Source organism: Homo sapiens, chromosome 5, assembly GCF_000001405.40.
Source record: "Homo sapiens chromosome 5, GRCh38.p14 Primary Assembly".
Taxonomy (NCBI): Eukaryota; Metazoa; Chordata; class Mammalia; order Primates; family Hominidae; genus Homo; species Homo sapiens.
The window spans coordinates 73,870,371-73,892,253 of NC_000005.10; the positions used below are offsets into that span (position 1 = coordinate 73,870,371).

Genomic DNA, 21,883 nt, shown 5'->3' on the forward strand with positions numbered 1-21,883 from the left:
ATCTGTAAAATGAGGATAATATTAAAAGTAATAGCAAAAACCACAATCGGTTTTGCAATAACCTAATAATACTCAGGTTTTAAATATTGTTTTGAGACTGCAATGAGGCATAATATGTACCTGGCACAGAGCAAATGTTATTTCCCATATTCCTTTCAAGTTTACTTAGGTTTGGCCTATACTCTTACCTCTTCTGTGTAAGAATTGCAGTGAACCTTCACATATTTTAATGTAGGGCTATTGCATATGGCCTTCCAGTTTGGCTGCATACACCAGCCATTCACAGAGACCAGGTGCAGTGTGAGTAGCTGCACCTGGGTTAGGGCAGGGTTTGACTACGTGCTGCCATCCTGAGTACAGAATTCAGCTGTGGTGAGATTGTATTTTGTCATGCTATTTGGGATGAAGGCATTCTGGATTGGAGAAAGTTAAATTATAGACTTGGAAAAAATGAAACTTCAAAAAATTTCAACTACAAAGTAGATTCCAAAATGTGGTTCCAAAGATACCCTACTTTAAAGATAACACTGGGTCTTTTCACTAATCCTGTGTATGCAAACATGGGCCCCAAAGTCCACGGGCAGTGAGGATACCTTGTCATCTGCATCAGGTGGTGGTTATGGACATCAGATGAGATGGTGTATGAGTGTGCTTAGAACTCTGTCAAAAGCTGTGTAGGTGCAAGTTACTTTGGAAAGGAAGATGCTGTCCCTCTTAGTATTTCTTAAGCAATTTATATTCTACTGTCAATTTTCTTCATCTACCTCTCAATTCTCAATTTCATATTATTAAAAGTATTCTAACCCATTGGGTTGAATTATTACATGGTCTTTTGTGTCAGAAAGGCTTGCATTCCAGGGCAAATTCTTTACCTTCTCTTCCTCACTGTTTCTCTTTAAAAGATAAGGAAAATCATTCCTATTTTCTGGGTCATAATGTATTAATGGGTTAAAAGATTAAATGAAATGATACAGGTAAGTGCTTAGCATAGAGTAGGCACTAAAAACATAGGAAATAATAATTCAAAGTTGGTAGATTTCCAATTAAAGAAATTTTTATTTTTGACAAAATATTAAAGCTATATTTAGACTTGCTGACTCTCCATGGCTGATATTTAAGGTTCTTTCCCAAAACTTGCGGTAAGTTTGGAAATACTCATTAATGTACAACTAGTACGTTTGGTGCACCTGTAAATTGTGAGTTGTTATTTTCTCTCCTGATGCGTTTTAAAAATTGAGGTATAATTCACCTGCTCAAAATTCACTCCTTTACAAGTACACAATCTAGTAGTTTTTAGTATATTCACGAAGTTGTGTAGCCATCAGGTCCTGTCTAATTTCAGAACATCTTCATCACTTCAAAAATCCTGTACATGTTACTAGTCACTCCCCATTTACCCCTTCCGCCAGCCTCTGGCAAACACTAGTCTACTTTCTGTCTCTACAGATTTGTCTATTCTAGACATTTTATGTGAATAGTACAATATGTGGTCTTTTGCGGCTGGCTTTTGTCACCTAGCATACTGTTTTTAAGGTTCATCCTAGTTGTAATATGTATGGGTACACCATTCCTTTTTATGGATGATGAATATCCTATTTTGTTTTCCTAATCATCAATTGATGGACATTTTGGGTTTTTCCACTTTTGGGGTCATAGAGTAGTAGCTTTACGTTTAATCACTTGAGAAACTGCCAGACTGTTTTCCAAAGCAGCTATACCATTTTGCATTCCCACCAGCAATGTATGAGGGTTCCAGTTTCTCCACATCCTCACCAATACCTGTTTGTTGCTTTTTTATTATAACTAGCCTAATATGTGTGAAGTGATGTGTCATTTTGGTTTTGATTTTCATTTCCCCAATAGCTAATGGAGTTGAGCATCTTTTCATGTTCTTATTGGCCATTTGTATATCCTTTTGGAGAAACATCTGTTCAAATCCTTTGACCATTTTTGAATTGGTTATTTATTTATTTATATTGTTGAGTTATAAGATTTTTAAAAATATACTAGATACAAGTTCCTTATCAGATAAATTATTTACAAATATTTTCTCCCATTCTGTGCGTTTTCTTTTCACTTTCTTGATGATGTCCTTTGATTGATTGTGATGCATTGTTTTCCTCTGGAGAAAGTGGAATTTTGGAGACAGATTCTGCCATAGAAAGGACCTATGGTTATCTGCATTGAAGAACTTTCTTTAGTTCCATTCATTTCACCAAATTAATTGTGCTCCTGCTCAATGCAAAAATCAAATAAAGAAAGGAAGAAAGAAAGCCAACAAACTAAGTTGTATTTCATAGGGCATTCAGGGTGGAATAAGACCTAGTTCCTAGCTGAAGGTATCTAAAGATGCTAGCTAGTTATATTATTGAGTTTCAGATACGTTAGATTCTTGTATATTGGACTTGACATATATGTCCTCTTTAATATCTGGATAAAAGAAAATGGTTTAATATTTTAGAGTGAATGAAATGTTTAATGTTGACTTTTATATTGGAATATTCTTGATATTCCTAAACATTTCTTTTTTATTTGCGTAACATATAGTGTTGAGTTACTAATTTAGTTTAATAGCGAAACTTGCTTTTTAAAGCTTGTTTAAGGCTTATGTGTGCTCACACATTTCAGAGCTAATGCAAACAGAGATGCATCACATCCAGACCCTGTTCATCATGTCTGAGATCTTCAGGAAAGGCATGAAAGAGGAGCTGCAGCTGGACCACAGCACCGTGGATAAAATTTTCCCCTGTTTAGATGAGTTGCTTGAAATCCACAGGCATTTCTTCTACAGTATGAAGGAACGAAGGCAGGAATCCTGTGCTGGCAGCGACAGGAATTTTGTGATCGACCGAATTGGAGATATTTTGGTACAACAGGTAAGAAGAGCTTAAAGTCCTTGACCTTTATGACGTAAGTGGGATTTGAATCAAAATCTGCCCTTTCATCAACAAGAGTAAAAAAAATGATATTTTGAAACATTCATAGTGACATTCTGAGGATGTGTTTACCATCGTTAGATTGTAACTCCCAGTAAGGCAGGGATTCTTGGCTATTTGATTACTGCTATATTTCAGCACCTGGAACAGTGCATGATATTATAAATATTTATTGAATGAATGGGCCACTTAAGGAAAAAAAAATCAGGAATTCACCTGAATGTCACGTTTTACAGTGGTCTGCAACACTTGGAAAGGCAGGGAGCTCCATCTGCAGTTGCTTTAGCATGGCTTTCCCTGGGTAGATGCTAGAATGCCATCTTCTCCAAATGTACTGTTTTTTGAAGCTGTTTCATCCTATCATTTACAGCGATGGAGTTCAGCTGTTGGTCTGTATGCAGAAAATGGGGGAGTTATGCTGAGTGGTATTCCATGCTATTGATATATCACTGTTTACTCATTCACTTGTTGAAGGATATCTTCTTGTTTCCAGTTTTTAGCTCTTATAAATAAAGCTGCTATGAACACTCAGGTGCAGATTTTGGTGCAAACCTAAGCTTTCATTTTTCTGGGATAAATGCCCAGGAATGCAATTTCTGGGTTGTATGGGAGTTGTATGTTCAGTTTTGTAAGAAACTGCTAACTGTTTTCCAGAGTGGTTGTACCATTTTACATTCTCATCAACACTGTACAAGTAATCCAGTTTCTCTACATCCTCACCAGCATCTGATATTGACACTATTTTTAATTTTGGCTATTTTAAGAGGTATAAAGTAATATCTCATTATGGTTCAAGTTGCACTTCCCTCATGGCTAATGATATTAAATATCTTTTCATGTGCTTATTTGCCATCTATATATCCCTTTCAGTGAAATTTCTGTTTATGTCTTTTGCTGATTTTCTAATTGGATTGTTTGTTTTCTTATTGATGAATATTAAGGTTTGTTTACATATTCTAGACATTGGTTCTTGTCATATATGTGATTGACAAACTTTCTCTAAATCTGTAACTTGTCTTCTCATTTTCTAATTTTGATGAAGTCTAGTTTATTTTTCCTTTTAAGAATTGTGCTATTAGTTTCAAGTTTTTTTATTTATTTTTATTTTTTTGTTATTATTATACTTTAAGTTTTAGGGTACATGTGCACAATGTGCAGGTTAGTTACATATGTATACATGTGCCAAGCTGGTGTGCTGCACCCTTTAACTCGTCATTTAGCATTAGGTATATCTCCTAATGCTATCCCTCCCCCCTCCCCCCTCCCCCCACCCCACAACAGTCCCCAGAGTGTGATGATCCCCTTCCAGTGTCCATGTGTTCTTATTGTTCAATTCCCATCTATGAGTGAGAACATGCGGTGTTTGGTTTTTTGTCCTTGCGATAGTTTGCTGAGAATGATGATTTCCAATTTCATCCATGTCCCTACAAAGGACATGAACTCATCATTTTTTATGGCTGCATAGTATTCCATGGTGTATATGTGCCACATTTTCTTAATCCAGTCTATCATCGTTGGACATTTGGGTTGGTTCCAAGTCTTTGGTATTGTGAATAATGCCACAATAAACATACGTGTGCATGTGTCTTTATAGCAGCATGATTTATAGTCCTTTGGGTATATATCCAGTGATGGGATGGCTGGGTCAGATGGTATTTGTAGTTCTAGATCCCTGAGGAATCGCCACACTGACTTCCACAATGGTTGAACTAGTTTACAGTCCCACCAACAGTGTAAAAGTGTTCCCATTTCTCCACATCCTCTCCAGCACCTGTTGTTTCCTGACTTTTTAATGATTGCCATTCTAACTGGTGTGAGATGGTATCTCATTGTGGTTTTGATTTGCATTTCTCTGATGGCCAGTGATGATGAGCATTTTTTCATGTGTCTTTTGGCTGCATAAATATCTTCTTTTGAGAAGTGTCTGTTCATATCCTTCACCCACTTTTTGATGGGGTTGTTTGTTTTTTTCTTGTAAATTTGTTTGAGTTCATTGTAGATTCTGGATATTAGCCCTTTGTCAGATGAGTAGGTTGCAAAAATTTTCTCCCATTTTGTAGGTTGCCTGTTCACTCTGATGGTAGTTTCTTTTGCTGTGCGGAAGCTCTTTAGTTTAATTAGATCCCATTTGTCAATTTTGGCTTTTGTTGCCATTGCTTTTGGTGTTTTAGACATGAAGTCCTTGCCCATGCCTATGTCCTGAATGGTATTGCCTAGGTTTTCTTCTAGGGTTTTTATGGTTTTAGGTCTAACATGTAAGTCTTTAATCCATCTTGAATTAATTTTTGTATAAGGTGTAAGGAAGGAATCCAGTTTCAGCTTTCTACATATGGCTAGCCAGTTTTCCCAGCACCATTTATTAAATAGGGAATCCTTTCCCCATTGCTTGTTTTTCTCAGGTTTGTCAAAGATCAGATAGTTGTAGATATGCGGCGTTATTTCTGAGGGCTCTGTTCTATTCCATTGATCTATATCTCTGTTTTGGTACCAGTACCATGCTGTTTTGGTTACTGTAGCCTTGTAGTATAGTTTGCAGTCAGGTAGTGTGATGCCTCCACCTTTGTTCTTTTGGCTTAGGATTGACTTGGCGATGCGGGCTCTTTTTTGGTTCCATATGAACTTTCAAGTAGTTTTTTCCAATTCTGTGAAGAAAGTCATTGCTAGCTTGATGGGGATGGCATTGAATCTATAAATTACCTTGGGCAGTATGGCCATTTTCACGATATTGATTCTTCCTACCCATGAGCATAGAATGTTCTTCCATTTGTTTGTATCCTCTTTTATTTCATTGAGCAGTGGTTTGTAGTTCTCCTTGAAGAGGTGCTTCACGTCCCTTGTAAGTTGGATTCCTAAGTATTTTATTCTCTTTGAAGCAATTGTGAATGGGAGTTCACTCATGATTTGGCTCTCTGTTTGTCTGTTATTGGTGTATAAGAATGCTTGTGATTTTTGTACATTGATTTTGTATCCTGAGACTTTGCTGAAGTTGCTTATCAGCTTAAGGAGATTTTGGGCTGAGACAATGGGGTTTTCTAGATATACAATGATGTCATCTGCAAACAGGGACAATTTGACTTCCTCTTTTCCTAATTGAATACCCTTTATTTCCTTCTCCTGCCTAATTGCCCTGGCCAGAACTTCCAACACTATGTTGAATAGGAGTGGTGAGAGAGGGCATCCCTGTCTTGTGCCAGTTTTCAAAGGGAATGCTTCCAGTTTTTGCACATTCAGTATGATATTGGCTGTGGGTTTGTCATAGATAGCTCTTATTATTTTGAGATACGTCCCATCAATACCTAATTTATTGAGAGTTTTTAGCATGAAGGGTTGTTGAATTTTGTCAAAGGCCTTTTCTGCATCTATTGAGATAATCGTGTGGTTTTTGTCTTTGGTTCTGTTTATATGCTGGATTACATTTATTGATTTGCGTATATTGAACCAGCCTTGCATCCCAGGGATGAAGCCCACTTGATCATGGTGCATAAGCTTTTTGATGTGCTGCTGGATTCGGTTTGCCAGTATTTTATTGAGGATTTTTGCATCAGTGTTCATCATGGATATTGGTCTAAAATTCTCTTTTTTGGTTGTGTCTCTGCCAGGCTTTGGTATCAGGATGATGCTGGCCTCATAAAATGAGTTAGGGAGGATTCCCTCTTTTTCTATTGATTGGAATAGTTTCAGAAGGAATGGTACCAGTTCCTCCTTGTACCTCTGGTAGAATTTGGCTGTGAATCCATCTGGTCCTGGACTCTTTTTGGTTGGTAAGCTATTGATTATTGCCCCAATTTCAGCTCCTGTTATTGGTCTATTCAGAGATTCAACTTCTTCCTGGTTTAGTCTTGGAAGAGTGTATGTGTCGAGGAATTTATCCATTTCTCCTAGATTTTCTAGTTTATTTGCATAGAGGTGTTTGTAGTATTCTCTGGTGGTAGTTTGTATTTCTGTGGGATCGGTGGTGATATCCCCTTTATCATTTTTTATTGCGTCTATTTGATTCTTCTCTCTTTTCTTCTTTATTAGTCTTGCTAGCGGTCTATCAATTTTGTTGATCCTTTCAAAAAACCAGCTCCTGGATTCATTAATTTTTTGAAGGGTTTTTTGCGTCTCTATTTCCTTCAGTTCTGCTCTGATTTTAGTTATTTCTTGCCTTCTGCTAGCTTTTGAATGTGTTTGCTCTTGCTTTTCTAGTTCTTTTAATTGTGATGTTAGGGTGTCAATTTTAGATCTTTCCTGCTTTCTCTTGTGGGCATTTAGTGCTATAAATTTCCCTCTACACACTGCTTTGAATGTGTCCCAGAGATTCTGGTATGTTGTGTCTTTGTTCTTGTTGGTTTCAAAGAACATCTTTATTTCTGCCTTCATTTCGTTATGTACCCAGTAGTCATTCAGGAGCAGGTTGTTCAGTTTCCATGTAGTTGAGTGGTTTTGAGTGAGTTTCTTAATCCTGAGTTCTAGTTTGATTGCACTGTGGTCTGAGAGACAGTTTGTTATAATTTCTGTTCTTTTACATTTTCTGAGGAGAGCTTTACTTCCAACTGTGTGGCCAATTTTGGAATAGGTGTGGTGTGGTGTGCTGAAAAAAATATATATTCTGTTGATTTGGGGTGGAGAGTTCTGTAGATGTCTATTAGGTCCACTTGGTGCAGAGCTGAGTTCAATTCCTGGGTATCCTTGTTAACTTTCTGTCTGGTTGATCTGTCTAATGCTGACAGTGGGGTGTTAAAGTCTCCCATTATTATTGTGTGGGAGTCTAAGTCTCTTTGTAGGTCACTCAAGACTTGCTTTATGAATCTGGGTGCTCCTGTATTGGGTGCATGTATATTTAGGATAGTTAGCTCTTCTTGTTGAATTGATCCCTTTACCATTATGTAATGGCCTTCTTTGTCTCTTTTGATCTTTGTTGGTTTAAAGTCTGTTTTATCCGAGATTAGGATTGCAACCCCTGCCTTTTTTTGTTTTCCATTTGCTTGGTAGATCTTCCTCCATCCTTTTATTTTGAGCCTATGTGTGTCTCTGCACGTGAGATGGGTTTCCTGAATACAGCACACTGATGAGTCTTGACTCTTTATCCAATTTGCCAGTCTGTGTCTTTTAATTGGAGCATTTAGTCCATTTACATTTAAAGTTAATACTGTTATGTGTGAATTTGATCCTGTCATTATGATGTTAGCTGGTTATTTGCCTCGTTAGTTGATGCAGTCTCTTCCTAGTCTCGATGGTCTTTACATTTTGGCATGATTTTGCAGCGGCTGGTACCGGTTGTTCCTTTCCATGTTTAGTGCTTCCTTCAGGAGCTCTTTTAGGGCAGGCCTGGTGGTGACAAAATCTCTCAGCATTTGCTTGTCTGTAAAGTATTTTATTTCTCCTTCACTTATGAAGCTTAGTTTGGCTGGATATGAAATTCTAGGTTGAAAATTCTTTTCTTTAAGAATGTTGAATATTGGCCCCCAGTCTCTTCTGGCTTGTAGAGTTTCTGCCGAGAGATCCGCTGTTAGTCTGATGGGCTTCCCTTTGTGGGTAACCCGACCTTTCTCTCTGGCTGCCCTTAACATTTTTTCCTTCATTTCAACTTTGGTGAATCTGACAATTATGTGTCTTGGAGTTGGTCTTCTCGAGGAGTACCTTTGTGGCGTTCTCTGTATTTCCTGAATCTCAGTGTTGGCCTGCCTTGCTAGATTGGGGAAGTTCTCCTGGATAATATCCTGCAGAGTGTTTTCCAACTTGGTTCCATTCTCCCCGTCACTTTCAGGTACACCAAGCAGACGCAGATTTGGTCTTTTCACATAGTCCCATATTTCTTGGAGGCTTTGTTCGTTTCTTTTTATTCTTTTTTCTCTAAACTTCCCTTCTTGCTTCATTTCATTCATTTCATCTTCCATCACTGATACCCTTCCTTCCAGCTGATCGCATCGGCTCCTGAGGCTTCTGCATTCTTCATGTAGTTCTCGAGCCTTGGCTTTCAGCTCCATCAGCTCCTTTAAACACTTCTCTGTATTGGTTATTCTAGTTATACATTCGTCTAAATTTTTTTCAAAGTTTTCAACTTCTTTGCCTTTGGTTTGAATTTCCTCCTGTGGCTCAGAGTAGTTTGATCATCTGGAGCCTTCTTCTCTCAACTCGTCAAAGTCATTCTCCGTCCAGCTTTGTTCCGTTGCTGGTGAGGAACTGCATTCCTTTGGAGGAGGAGAGGCGCTCTGCTTTTTAGAGTTTCCAGTTTTTCTGCTCTGTTTTTTCTCCATCTTTGTGGTTTTATCTACTTTTGGTCTTTGATGATGGTGATGTACAGATGGGTTTTTGGTGTGGACGTCCTTTCTGTTTGTTAGTTTTCCTTCTAACGGACAGGACCTTCAGCTGCAGGTCTGTTGGAGTTTGCTAGAGGTCCACTCCAGACCCTGTTTGCCTGGGTATCAGCAGCGGTGTCTGCAGAAATGTGGATTTTTGTGAACCGCGAATGCTGCTGTCTGATAGTTCCTCTGGAAGTTTTGTCTCAGAGGAGTACCTGGCCATGTGAGGTGTCAGTCTGCCCCTACTGGGGGGTGCCTCCCAGTTAGGCTGCTCGGGGGTCAGGGGTCAGGGACCCACTTGAGGAGGCAGTCTGCCCGTTCTCAGATCTCCAGCTGTGTGCTGGGAGAACCACTGCTGTCTTCAAAGCTGTCAGACAAGGACATTTAAGTCTGCAGAGTTACTGCTGTCTTTTTGTTTGTCTGTGCCCTGCCCCCAGCGGTGGAGCCTACAGAGGCAGGCAGGCCTCCTTGAGCTGTGGTGGGCTCTACCCACTTGGAGCTTCCCCGCTGCTTTGTTTACCTAAGCGAGCCTGGGCAATGGCGGGCGCCCCTCCCCCAGCCTCGCTGCAGACTTGCAGTTTGTTCTCAGACTGCTGTGCTAGCAATCAGCGAGACTCCGTGGGTGTAGGACCCTCCGAGCCAGGTGTGGGATATAATATCCTGGTGCGCCGTTTCCTAAGCCCGTCGGAAAAGCGCAGTATTCTGGTGGGAGTGACCCAATTTTCCAGGTGCCGTCTGTCACCCCTTTCCTTGACCAGGAAAGGGAACTCCCTGACCCCTTGCACTTCCCAAGTGAGGCAATGCCTCGCCCTGCTTCAGCTCACGCATGGTGTGCTGCACCCACTGTCCTGCGCCCACTGTCTGGCACTCCCTAGTGAGATGAACCCGGTACCTCAGATGGAAATGCAGAAATCACCCGTCTTCTGCGTTGCTCACGCTAGGAGCTGTAGACCGGAGCTGTTCCTATTCGGCCATCTTGTAGTTTCAAGTTTAAGGATTCTTTGTCTAGCCCTAGGTCTCAAACATGTTCTCCTATTTTTAAAAAAGGATTTACAGTTTTTGCTGGGCATGGTGGCTCACGCCTGTAAGCCCAGCACTTTGGGAGGCCGAGGTGGATGGATCACTTGAGCTCAAGAGTTTGAGACCAGCCTGAGCATCATGATGAATCCCTGTCTCTACAAAAAATACAAAAATTAGCTTGGCGTGGTGGTATGCACTTGTAGTCCCAGCTATTTGTGGGCTGAGGTGGGCAGATCGCCTGAGCCTGGGAGGTTGAGGTTGCAGTGAGCCGAGATCCTTCTCCTGCACTCCAGCCTGGGTGGGCATCAGAAGTGGCACCCTGCCTCAAAAAAAAAAGTTGTACAGTTTGTTGTTTTACATTTAAGTGTGTGTTGTACTTTGAGTGTTTTTTTGTGCAGGTTATGAGACTTAGTAGGTTAAGTTCAGGTTTTTTTTTTTTTTGTCTATGGCTGTCCAATTGCTCCAGTGCCATTCGTTGAAAAGGCTATTTTTCCTCTAATTGCTTTTGCATTTTTGTCAAAAATCATGTGGGCATCTGGGTTACCATTTTGTTTCACTGATCTATGGATCTATCTTTCCATAGTCTTAGTAACTGTAGCTATATAATCTTAGAAGAATGAGTCCTTCCACTTTATTATTTTTTCCAAAATTGTTCTAGCTGTTCTAGTTCCTTTCCTTTTTCATATATATTCTAGAATAGTCTTATTTATATTTTTAAAAAGCATACTGGGATTTTGTTAAGAATTGTACTAAAACTGTATATCAGTTTGAAGAAAATTGACATCTTTACTATTTTGAGTCTTCTAATCCATGAACATCATATAGCACTTCATTTATTTAGATTTTTGTCATCTTTCACTGGCATTGTATAGTTTTTACTATGAGTCATATATGTGTTTTGTTAGATTTGTACCCAGGTGATTTTTTTGAATGATTGTAAGTGGTTTAAGAATTATCATTTGAGGCTTATTGGCCCCACACATTCATATAAGCAAAGATGAAAAGACCAGAGGTCGTGATGTAAATTTTAAGTACTTTTAAGAGGGTGGGTGTGTTCCGGTTTCCATTACAATGCTCTTCAAGGGGACGTGTGCATGTAAGGCCATCACAGTCTAAAAAAATGGCATTCAAGTCATTCAACTAGTTCTCTTCACAGCACCTTATGATTCTAAGTTGATTTCTATGTGGATTTTCTACAGATGTTTTTCTACAGGTAAGGCTTATTGAAACATCCAGCCCACATCTCTACTTTTCTTCATTAGCTAATAAACAGGCATTCTGGTTATTCACTGGTGTCTTTCATCTTGGCTAATGATAGCCTGCCCTTGATCTATTTGTAATGTGTGAACAAAAAATCAAATTCCCTACTAAGGACTCAGTCTATGGACATGGTCATTAGCCAGTGTAAATGCCAAATGGGTGATTTTTTTGGGGGGGAGGTTAGCCAAAGTAAATGTCAAATGAGTGATTTTTTTTGGGGGGCCAGACCTTCCTGAAGGCCCCTAAATGTTGCCATATACTTTTCTTTCAATCTATAAAAGTATTAAAACTATAAATTGAAATTATAAATTTGTATTATAACTAAGATGAGAATAAAATAGATCAAATGTTTTTCATTTGGCTATTTGATAATTATATTAGTTCAATATAATATCACATTATGTTGACCCTTACCACTCAACAACTTTCTTTTATTTTAATTTAAAAAATGTCTGAGGAGATAAGTGATTGTGTTCAGAAATTCCATGATATTTATTTTTTATTTGCAAATACTATTTTGAAATAGATGAAAATTGCATATTTTTTGTGTGTTTAGAACTTACTAAATTTACAAACCATTATTTAAATGTTATTCTTCCAGTTTTCAGAAGAAAATGCAAGTAAAATGAAGAAAATATATGGAGAATTCTGTTGCCATCATAAAGAAGCTGTTAACCTCTTTAAAGAACTCCAGCAGAATAAAAAGTTTCAGAATTTTATTAAGGCAAGTATTTTAAAACTTTATTACAAAGTGATAAATCAGCATGGAGAAATAGTTTATGCTTGTTTCTTAATGATTTAAACAAATTTCTTAGCTAATGATGCTTTTCAGGGGAAGAAGAAGGGAGGTGGAATGTTTGTGACAAAGGTGGAAAGTCTCTTTTTCTGTATTAGTAAAATATTGCCCCCAAATCATTTCCTTTTGTATATTTGTGAGGTCATGTCTTCCAACCTTCTGAGAATATTTGTAACATACTGGGAAGCTGTTTCATGCCAAGTTATATATCAGAAAAATCAAAGTGAAAATAAACACAGAATCTACTCCACTTCTGAATTAGCTTGAAGCAGATTCATGACATCATATAATTTCATCTGTAATAGTTTTCTCCAGATGAAAAAGTTAAAAATTATGACATTATTATACAAATAAAGTAACAATAGTTTTTGATATCTTAAAATTTCACTGATTATCTCATAAAATTGGATTACTTAAATCAGAATCTGACCAAGGTTCACTTATTGTATGAGGTGGTTATATCTCTTAAATCTCTTTTCATTTGAATGTTATCCCACCCCTTTTTTCTTCTTCTGATTTATTTGTTGAAGAAATTTGTCTTATAAAGTTTCCTGGATTCTAAATTTTTATCTGCCATGTTAAGAATGCTACCAGATTCTCTTCCCTTTTTTACCACATAAATGTGTGTTGAGGACTTGAATACTATGAGGAATACTTTGATATTTTTAGAAAAAAAGTTGTCCTGATTAGAGGGAACTCTAAGAGTTATAATGAATAATAACAAATGTGGAGGAAGACCTGTTGGGAAAACAAATGGTAAACTGCAAACTGATGTTCAAAGTTGACTTTGATTTATGATTATTTTTCAAAAATTTTGCTATTCATAAATCGAGGCACTTAGAAGTATTGGAACTTCTTTTGAAATTAACTACAAATACATCAGTAACTTGAAACTTCTTAAAATCATGGAGAGTTGGGGTACTGAAATTTATGACAAAGTATGCAATTTAAATTAGTGATAATGCATCGTTTTAATTGATAGCAATGAATGTTAAGTCTGCATAAAATTGTACTGTTGCAGATTCTTTGTATTGTTACATTCACACCTGAAAAGTAAATACAGGTAGAATTTGTGTACATAAAAGTATATATTTTTTAAGCTCCGAAATAGTAATCTTTTGGCTCGACGCCGAGGAATTCCAGAATGCATTCTGTTGGTCACTCAGCGTATTACAAAATACCCTGTCTTGGTGGAAAGGATATTGCAGTACACAAAGGGTAAGTTGTGACTTCTGGGATAAAAATTTGCCCCTCTTATTAGTTTTAAACACAGTTGAGGTGTTCTAAACAGCCATCAGTGTTTGTGGTCTCTGATTCATAAAGAGTTTCACGACGGAGAAACTGTTAAAGCCTTAGAATTTGGATTAGTTTTTAGAAATTATCTTTTATAATGCAGCATGGGTAAATAGTCTGAATTTCTACAGGTAGCCCAAACCAAGCTGGCTTCTTCTTACTTTGAACCTGCCTTTCTTCTCTTTATTTTCCCCACCACTGGGCTTTCTTAATACCTCCTCTTCCTCATTTTCCTATTACCTTCACAACAGTCTGATGAAACATGCTATTGATCCTATCACAAAATGTCAACTCTCCCAAGCAATCTGTTATTAAGTTGAGAGGGATTATAAGAAGGATCTATTTTTGACCCTGTCAATTCATCAAGTTCCAGGGAGTAACATATGGGCATCTTTTAAGAAGCTATGAATGCACATGGCTGGTCTGTAAGCTCCTTGTGGGATCTATAAGACCTGTGTCTGTCTGGTTTACAGCTGAATCTTCAATGTCTAGTGCAATGGCTGGTACAGAATAGATGATCAATAAATAAAAACATATCAATGCAATGAATGAATAAATAAAATGGTCTAATCCTCAAGCTAACATATTGATCTTGAGTAAAGATTATTATTAGGGTGGTAGTGTGTTATGTTAAAAAGGGCTTGGGTTTGGAATTTTGTACACTTGTGTTGCATTGTATATACTCAGCTCTGCCACTCATTCATTGGGCAAATTATTAACTGAGCCTCAGTTATCTCCACTACGAAATGACATGAAACATTACCTTTCAGTTCCAGTTGCCTTAATAAACATCAACTAGGTGGTCTTTATCACCAAATATCAATGCTGCTCCAGAAACTCCTTCAGAGTATTTTCATAAGATAATCTAGAGACAAGAGCAGGTAGCCAGTATTTTAAAGAATAACAACTGAAATCAATAATTATTTGCTCTTGGTATGAGCATGGCTGATTTGTCCGTTAGCACAGCACTTGGGTACCATGAAAATATTTTCTTTTCCCATCAGAAGAAGAAAATTCATTTTTTCTTCTGATGGTAAAAGAAATTAAAATATTTAATTTTAAATAAAATGGTCAAAGAAAATTGTTTAATTATAATAGTAATATATTCATATTTATGCTAATGCAGTTATAAAATATAATTTTGAATGTTAATTTTATGGAGGAAGGGATCAAGGAATATAAATGAATCTGAGGCTCATTCACATAACCCTGTGGCTCTGTTTCTGAAAGCATTGCTGGCTTTGCCCCACAGCTGGCTTAAGTTTTAAGAAACTTGGCATGGAGATTATTGATTACCTATGTCTAAGAAGGTGGAAGGAAGGCCTAAGTTAGTATATAACACATTTCCTGCCCTAGGGAGAAGGTCAGACCCATCCCTAGAACTCAGACATCTTACTGTCAGCGGAAGGACTATGTGTCAGCTGAAGCACATTTAATCATGCAAACCTTTCATAATAAAATATTTTAACATTTTTTTGGTGGGGGGGTGGTACAGAGTGGTATTATAGGATTTAATTTTTTTTTTTTTTTTCTTCGAGACAGAGTCTCACTCTGTCTCGTAGGCTGGAGTGGAGTGGTACAGTCTTGGTTCCCTGCAACCTCTACCTCCCAGGCTCAAACTCTCCTCCCACCTAAGCCTCTTGAGTAGCTGGGACAAAAGGCACATGCCACTATGCCTGGCTAATTTTTGTATCTTTTTTGGTAGAAACAGGGTTTTGCCATGTTGCCCAGGCTAGGAATTTAAGTTTAATCCAACATTTTTCTTATGGGATTTTTATTGTTTAGATGATACATTTAACTATATTTTAAAACTAAAGAAGAAGTTTTCTTCCTTAGTACTCTGGTTTATTGTATAGTATTTTTGTTTGTTTGTTTCTTTTTCCCACGCAGAAAGAACTGAGGAACATAAAGACTTACGCAAAGCGCTTTGCTTAATTAAAGACATGATTGCAACAGTGGATTTAAAAGTCAATGAATATGAGAAAAACCAAAAATGGCTTGAGATCCTAAATAAGATTGAAAACAAAACATACACGAAGCTCAAAAATGGACATGTGTTTAGGAAGCAGGCACTGATGAGTGAAGAAAGGACTCTGTTATATGATGGCCTTGTTTACTGGAAAACTGCTACAGGTCGTTTCAAAGGTACTGTGGCTCTACCAGACCAATTTCTCCCTTCATACACATTATTCATTTAACAGAGGACAGATTTTCAAAAGAAAAACAGTTCAGAATTGCAGGCACACATGCGCAAACCCTGGGTCAGTTGAAAGATTGATTTGTGAATTTCAATAGGCAAATTTGGCCAATGATACAAATCTTTGGTGGGAGTTTGCTGCCCAAGCTAAAACCTTTATACATGTTTTATGAATTTGCAAGTTTGTGATGTCTGAAATCAAATGAACTGAGAGTTCTGCTAATTGTTGACACAGAAAAATTATTCTGGTAACTGTGGTGTGTTGAAAGCAAGGCAGTACACCTACACACCTAGGGTCTGTTGCATGTCAACACAGCCTAGGGCTGTCAGACAATGGAGGGGAGAAATAAAAAGAACTCTGAATGTCATCTTTGTTACTGACTAATAGAATATATCCACACACCTGCTGACGTGGTTTAAGCTTTTCCTCAGTGCTACTGTTTGCTAACTGGCATGAACTTGACTCTGTTCAGGAGTCTAAAGCAGATAATTCCATTTTTTAAGGACTCATTATGTAGCTATCACACTGCCTAATCCAGGCTTTCTCACCCTGGCCACACACTAGAATCACCTCTGGAGCTGGAAAACATTACGAATGCTCATGTCTCCTCCCAGAGATTCTGATTTTTATCACTGTGAGGATGAAACCAAAGCCCATGGGATGTTTAAAGGCTCCCCAAGTGAGACTACTCTGCAGCCAGGGCTAAGAACCACTGTTTCTAACAGTTCATCTTAATAACATCCATAGGTAGGCAGTGAGAGGAAGAGGTTGTTAAATTCTAGCTACTCAAAAATTATTACCCATTGGAGGATGATCAAGTTTGGATGGAGGTTGCAACTAATATCTGAAATGGGATTTGTTGATCAACAACTAGCAATGTTGTATTGAAAAAAATATTAACCACAACCTGTAGATTCTATTGCTCGAAGTCATTTGCTGTTTATCCATTTAATAGAATCAGTTTGGTAACTTTGTGTTAGACTATTCAGTGGGTGCAATGAAGATGAGTTCTTGTGAACAATGTGTAAGGGAAGTATGGAATCTTAAACCTTGCTCAGATCTAGATGAAACAAAATAGCAGGCCTATATAATTTGAGGTAGAAGCTGCCCTTTTACATTTTTAATTCAGCACTTTTCCTGCCGAAGGTAAGAGTTTGCTCCATTTTATTAAAGCTTCCTTTTTTAATGGATATTTTTCTTCTGTTTTGAAAGTGACTACATTAAACTTTGCTGGAGATTTACCTATACCTACAGCCACACACAAACATGCACACTTAAAGACAGCTTTCTATTAAGTTATTAATAGCATATATCTTTGGCTATCATAATACAGGTATTTTTATAAAACTTTCATACTTAGACTAAATCTTAGTCTTTTGATTTTTATTCAGTTTATTTGAACTGTGGTTTGCTTCATTAATACTAGTAATGTTTTTTCTTTAAAGATATCCTAGCTCTACTTCTAACTGATGTGCTGCTCTTTTTACAAGAAAAAGACCAGAAATACATCTTTGCAGCCGTTGTAAGTATATGACTGTGTGATGTATTTAAAAAATAGGTTTAACCACACATTTTCTTGAAAAATACCTAAAATTCCTAGTGAAATATAATAGTCACAGGGAAGTATATGCTTCTGTTATGTTTCCATTATTACTTGTGATTGCAGTGTTTAGAGACAAGCATCTCATTAGGTTAAATTAGCATAGTAAGTGTTGCGTCATCACAACCAGGGCTGGTACTCAGCTGGTTCAGCAGTGTAGCCAACTGTGAGAATATTGCAGTCCTTCAGTAGTGGTTGGTGAACAGGCATTGCCCTGAGCCTCCCAAATGTCCCCACGCCATCTAGCTATCTTGGTCTTTCCTCCAGACTCCTCTCTTCCCCGCCCCTTCGGCCCCCAAACCCCTTCCCTTAGATCCAGCAACTAAAATGTGAATGCTGGGCACAGCCAATCTCTTCCAGCACCTGGCTTTCTCCATGCCCATTGGCCCTGCTCTCCCACTTACTAACCCCGTGACTGCCATCGTGTGCCTTCTGCCAGACAAGGGATACCATCCTGATGCCTAATGTTGACAGAAGATTCTTTCTTATTTTTACTATAGTAGCTTCTAAAGACAGTGTATGAAACTATTTTTGTAGTGTGTTAGAGTAATCTAATTGCTAGCATATAGATAATAAGAAGGCTTGAAGAAGTCTCTATGTTCCCAATCAATTTGAACTGTATTACAAATTTCATGAAAACCTATTGGTTTGTCCAGCAGCTTCTCAATGCTGTTACCTGAGATGCTTGAGATTCTCTTAAAGAACCTGAGAAATAAGTGGGAAGGTGGGGACCATTTTGTTTAACCTGTGGGATGGTGAGGGCCATGTAGGAACAGGAAACAAATTCACATCTTTATAGAAACCAATGCTTCTTTAAAACCAAAGACCTAAAAGAAAAGCAAATTCTGCTTCTTGGATGATATTACCGGACAGATGTCCTGCTGACTGATCATGAAGTAGATAATATAAATACAACTACCTTGTTTTTTAGGACGAGGTAGCATATGGATTCAGATCCTGTAATGCTCAACTTAGAGCGCGCCTGGAAATATGATTCTTTCCCTCTTGTCTCATATGACCTCCTGAGGCATTATCTGTGCTACCCATAGACAACATTTACCATTAAGTGAGGTATTAGGAATGCAATCCACCAAATGGCAGAATGAAGACAGTTACAACCTAGCTCTTCTTGGTGGAATGTGTTTGGCTATACTGATACTATTTCTTAAATGTGTTAACCTGACATGTAACTGCATTCATAAATGACAGCTAAGCCCTTGGTGGTATCAGAGAGCAAAAGAGAAAGCATCATTTTATCCTTGAAGAGTCAGGTGCACCCTACTGTTCATACACTCCTGAGTTACATCTATCTGACAATAGCCCATGTGTCACAAATATCTTATAGTTAACACTGTAGGAAATTGAAGCATTTGGCTAGGGATATACAGATATCTGGATTTCCTAGCTCCCATCCTAGAATTTTAGAAAGTTTTCCTCAAGCTAGTACAAGTGAGATTCTCCACTCCTTGTGCCCTTTAGAAAACACTTCTTCCCTAGGTGCTTGTCTTGCTGCATGTTACAGAAAACGTGATGAATTTGGAAGTAGCCAGAAGATAAGCAGTTAAAGTAGCAAGAGGATGGAGTAGTGGGTCCCTACAAGACAGTTTTGCTTTGTTTTTGTTTTTATAAAGGACTCAGCTGGAAATTGGGGCAGAGCCCAAACCTACAAAATGTGTTAAGAAAAAGTAGATGTGTTCACTAAGTCTTAGAATACTGAGTCTAGGAGGAATCTCTTGAACATCAAAGAAGGCAAATTCAAAAGGAGCAAACAACCAAGACAGTGAACATGTGGACCTGCAGGCTGAAGTTCCAAATAGGAAGCAGCTTTAAAATCTCTTTATCACAATGCAATCCCTGGATAATAGAATCAGCACAAAATGGATACGGTGTAACAATACAGCTAAGCATGGCAGCTCCTTTCATCTTCTCCTACATTAGAGGTCTTCAACTCCTAATGCCTGTAGGCATTGGGCAGAAATGTGATTGAGTGAATGTGATAGGGTCAGAAGCAATGAGACAATAGAAAGTTGTAGGGACTGTAGTGAAAAGTGAGTCTGTGCCCTGTCTCAAAGATGTCAGGGATTACTTGGCTATAGCCAGTGTTTTAAAATGAGAATATGGGCCCAGGATTGCTCATCTTCTGCTTTCCCCAAGAACCCAGAAATGTAAAGTTTTTAAAAAGTGAAATCCTCTAGTATTTAAATGCTGAGAACTGATTTTTAAACTTTGTTTGTTAAATGCCGTGGCACAAATAAAACATCTCTGCAAGCTGGGTTAGCCCTTTGCATTACTAGTGTTTGACATCTACCTCCAAGGCAGACATGGTACTTCCATTCCTGGAGAGTTAATTTGAATGTTTGTTCATCTCCAGTGTTTGTGCGTGGTTAGTATGAATACCGATGGACAGGTTCCCATGCCCCCTGGTCTGATGGTGATCGAATGAATGCTACTTTCCTTGCACTTACCTGTTCTTCACTTTGAAAAGATCTTACCCTGCCACCTCCCCTCCCCTGCAACACTAACCAACTGGTTCAAATAATTGCACTCTTGCTCATGTCTTAAGCAAGTAAACCTACTCTGCCTTTTTACATACAGAGGCTGTTTACCTTGTCAGCTGAGGAAGCTATAAAGTACATTGCACATTGCATCAGGGAAACAGATAAGGGAGTAGGTCCATAATAGAATAAGCCAGATTAACAATGCTCCAAGGATCTCCCTAATTAGAGAGGGCAGTATTCCAACAACTCTGCCATGGGGCTGCTTTTGCTTCCATTTTCAGAGGCTGAGCACAGGCTGTATAGACTAGTGGTCTTGTCCCATTATATTTTTACTCTCATGCTACTCTGAGAAGCGTGGGGTGAGGAGGTACTCTGGGTCACCATGGCACACAGCCTCTGATATGGCCAAGCTGTATGATGCTGGGAAAGCCGACAAGCCAGCACCAAGGAGTCAGCAGTGAGGGAACAGTGGCATGTTCTGGATAAAGGCGTCGCTCAGTCCATGATGGTGAAGCAAAACCACACACTGCAACCAGCTCTGTAAACACTGGTGGAAGCCACAGACCAAAGAAGAATTCTTCATATTATCCCCCAAACTGTTCATCTTGAAGTCATTCTTTTGGCCATTCTTTCAACTACATCTACCTACCAAGCATCATCAGTGTGCTGTTCCTCTTTGAATCCCCAGTGTTTAGAAAAAGACATTGGAGGATCACAGTAGATGTTGGTAGAAGAGGTGGTTTAATCATGGCGTACATGCCAAATTTTAGACTTTCTTCCTATTACCCTGTGGTGGACTTATGTGAAACTAGTCCTACCAACATTTATTGAGTGCCTACTCTATGCTTGGCTATGTGCTAGGTGCATGAAGATGAATGAGACCCATTCCCACCCACCAAGGGCTCATCTGCTTGGTGAGAAGAGGCAAGAACTTGTAGACCATTTTGTTGCTGTGACCCACATGACAGTAGCAAAAAGGATTGGTTACGCCTGGGGAATCAAAGGTCTTGCCACTTATTCGTATCTTTTGTAGTCACTTTTATAGTCCATGGGCTGGGCTTCTGAGTTTCTGGGCTTCTGTTCCGTCACCTTATTGAAAGAGTATTGCAAGTCTAATGGACTTTTTAGGGCCTCCCTCCTTCTCAGTCTCTTTGACATTTGACATAGTTTCCTATCTCATGCTCTCTTAGAAAAACTTCTCCTGCCTTGACTATGGCATTTTGATATTTTTCTTCTCTGATTGTTCTGTCTTTTAAAAAGTTCAGTTTTTAAACAACCAATTCCTTTTTTTTTTCTTTTTTTGAGATGGAGTCTTGCTCTGTTGCCCAGGCTGGAGTGCGCTCACTGCAACCTCTGCCTCCCAGGTTCAAGCAATTCTCATGCCTCAGCCTCCCAAGCAGCTGAGACTACAGGCGCACACCAGCACATCTGGCTAATTTTTGTGTTTTTAGTATAGATGGGGTTTCACCACATTGGCCAGGCTGGTCTTGAACTGCTGACCTCAAGTGATTCACCTGCCTCGGCCTCCCAAAGTGCTGGGATTACAGGAGGGAGCCGTTGGGCCCGGCCTAAACCACCAATTCTTAAGGATGAGCATGCCTATAATTCCTCTTTTTCCATCCTCTCTTTTCCATACCGTCTCCATTGGAGATTGTATCAACTTCTACAGCTCTTTTGAAAAGATTGGAAGTGGAGAAAGGTTTACCTAGTACTCTTGCTTCCTTTAGCTCATGTTTTACGGAGCCTTACTTTAGCTAGGATGCTGTTTCATCTGCTCACCTTCCTATTTTATGTAGGATCAGAAGCCATCAGTTATTTCCCTTCAAAAGCTTATTGCTAGAGAAGTTGCTAATGAGGAGAGAGGAATGTTTCTGATCAGTGCTTCATCTGCTGGTCCTGAGATGTATGAAATTCACACCAATTCCAAGGAGGAACGCAATAACTGGATGAGACGGATCCAGCAGGCTGTAGAAAGGTAACATTTCCTTCCGTCCATAA

The 21,883-nt window shown here is 38.7% G+C and overlaps 1 protein-coding gene across 5 annotated transcripts in view, besides 1 other annotated feature; it reads left to right on the forward strand.

Moving 5' to 3' along the window:
* Positions 1-21,883, forward strand: part of ARHGEF28 (Rho guanine nucleotide exchange factor 28) — a 315,795-nt gene that overhangs the window by 244,175 nt on the left and 49,737 nt on the right. For all 5 annotated transcript variants that reach the window (NM_001080479.3, NM_001177693.2, NM_001388076.1 and 2 more), the window contains 6 exons: positions 2,629-2,876; positions 12,102-12,224; positions 13,397-13,514; positions 15,480-15,734; positions 17,233-17,309; positions 21,682-21,860. In NM_001080479.3, the coding sequence (NP_001073948.2) occupies positions 2,629-2,876; positions 12,102-12,224; positions 13,397-13,514; positions 15,480-15,734; positions 17,233-17,309; positions 21,682-21,860 (1,000 nt within the window). The remainder of the gene's footprint in view (positions 1-2,628; positions 2,877-12,101; positions 12,225-13,396; positions 13,515-15,479; positions 15,735-17,232; positions 17,310-21,681; positions 21,861-21,883) is intronic.
* Positions 9,277-9,777: an enhancer, noted in NCBI's record as "H3K4me1 hESC enhancer chr5:73175472-73175972 (GRCh37/hg19 assembly coordinates)". NCBI's record gives its function as "activates a minimal SCP1, AML or CMV promoter by ChIP-STARR-seq in naive H9 embryonic stem cells {active_cell/tissue: H9 hESC(naive)}" and the evidence as "EXISTENCE:reporter gene assay evidence [ECO:0000049][PMID:30033119]".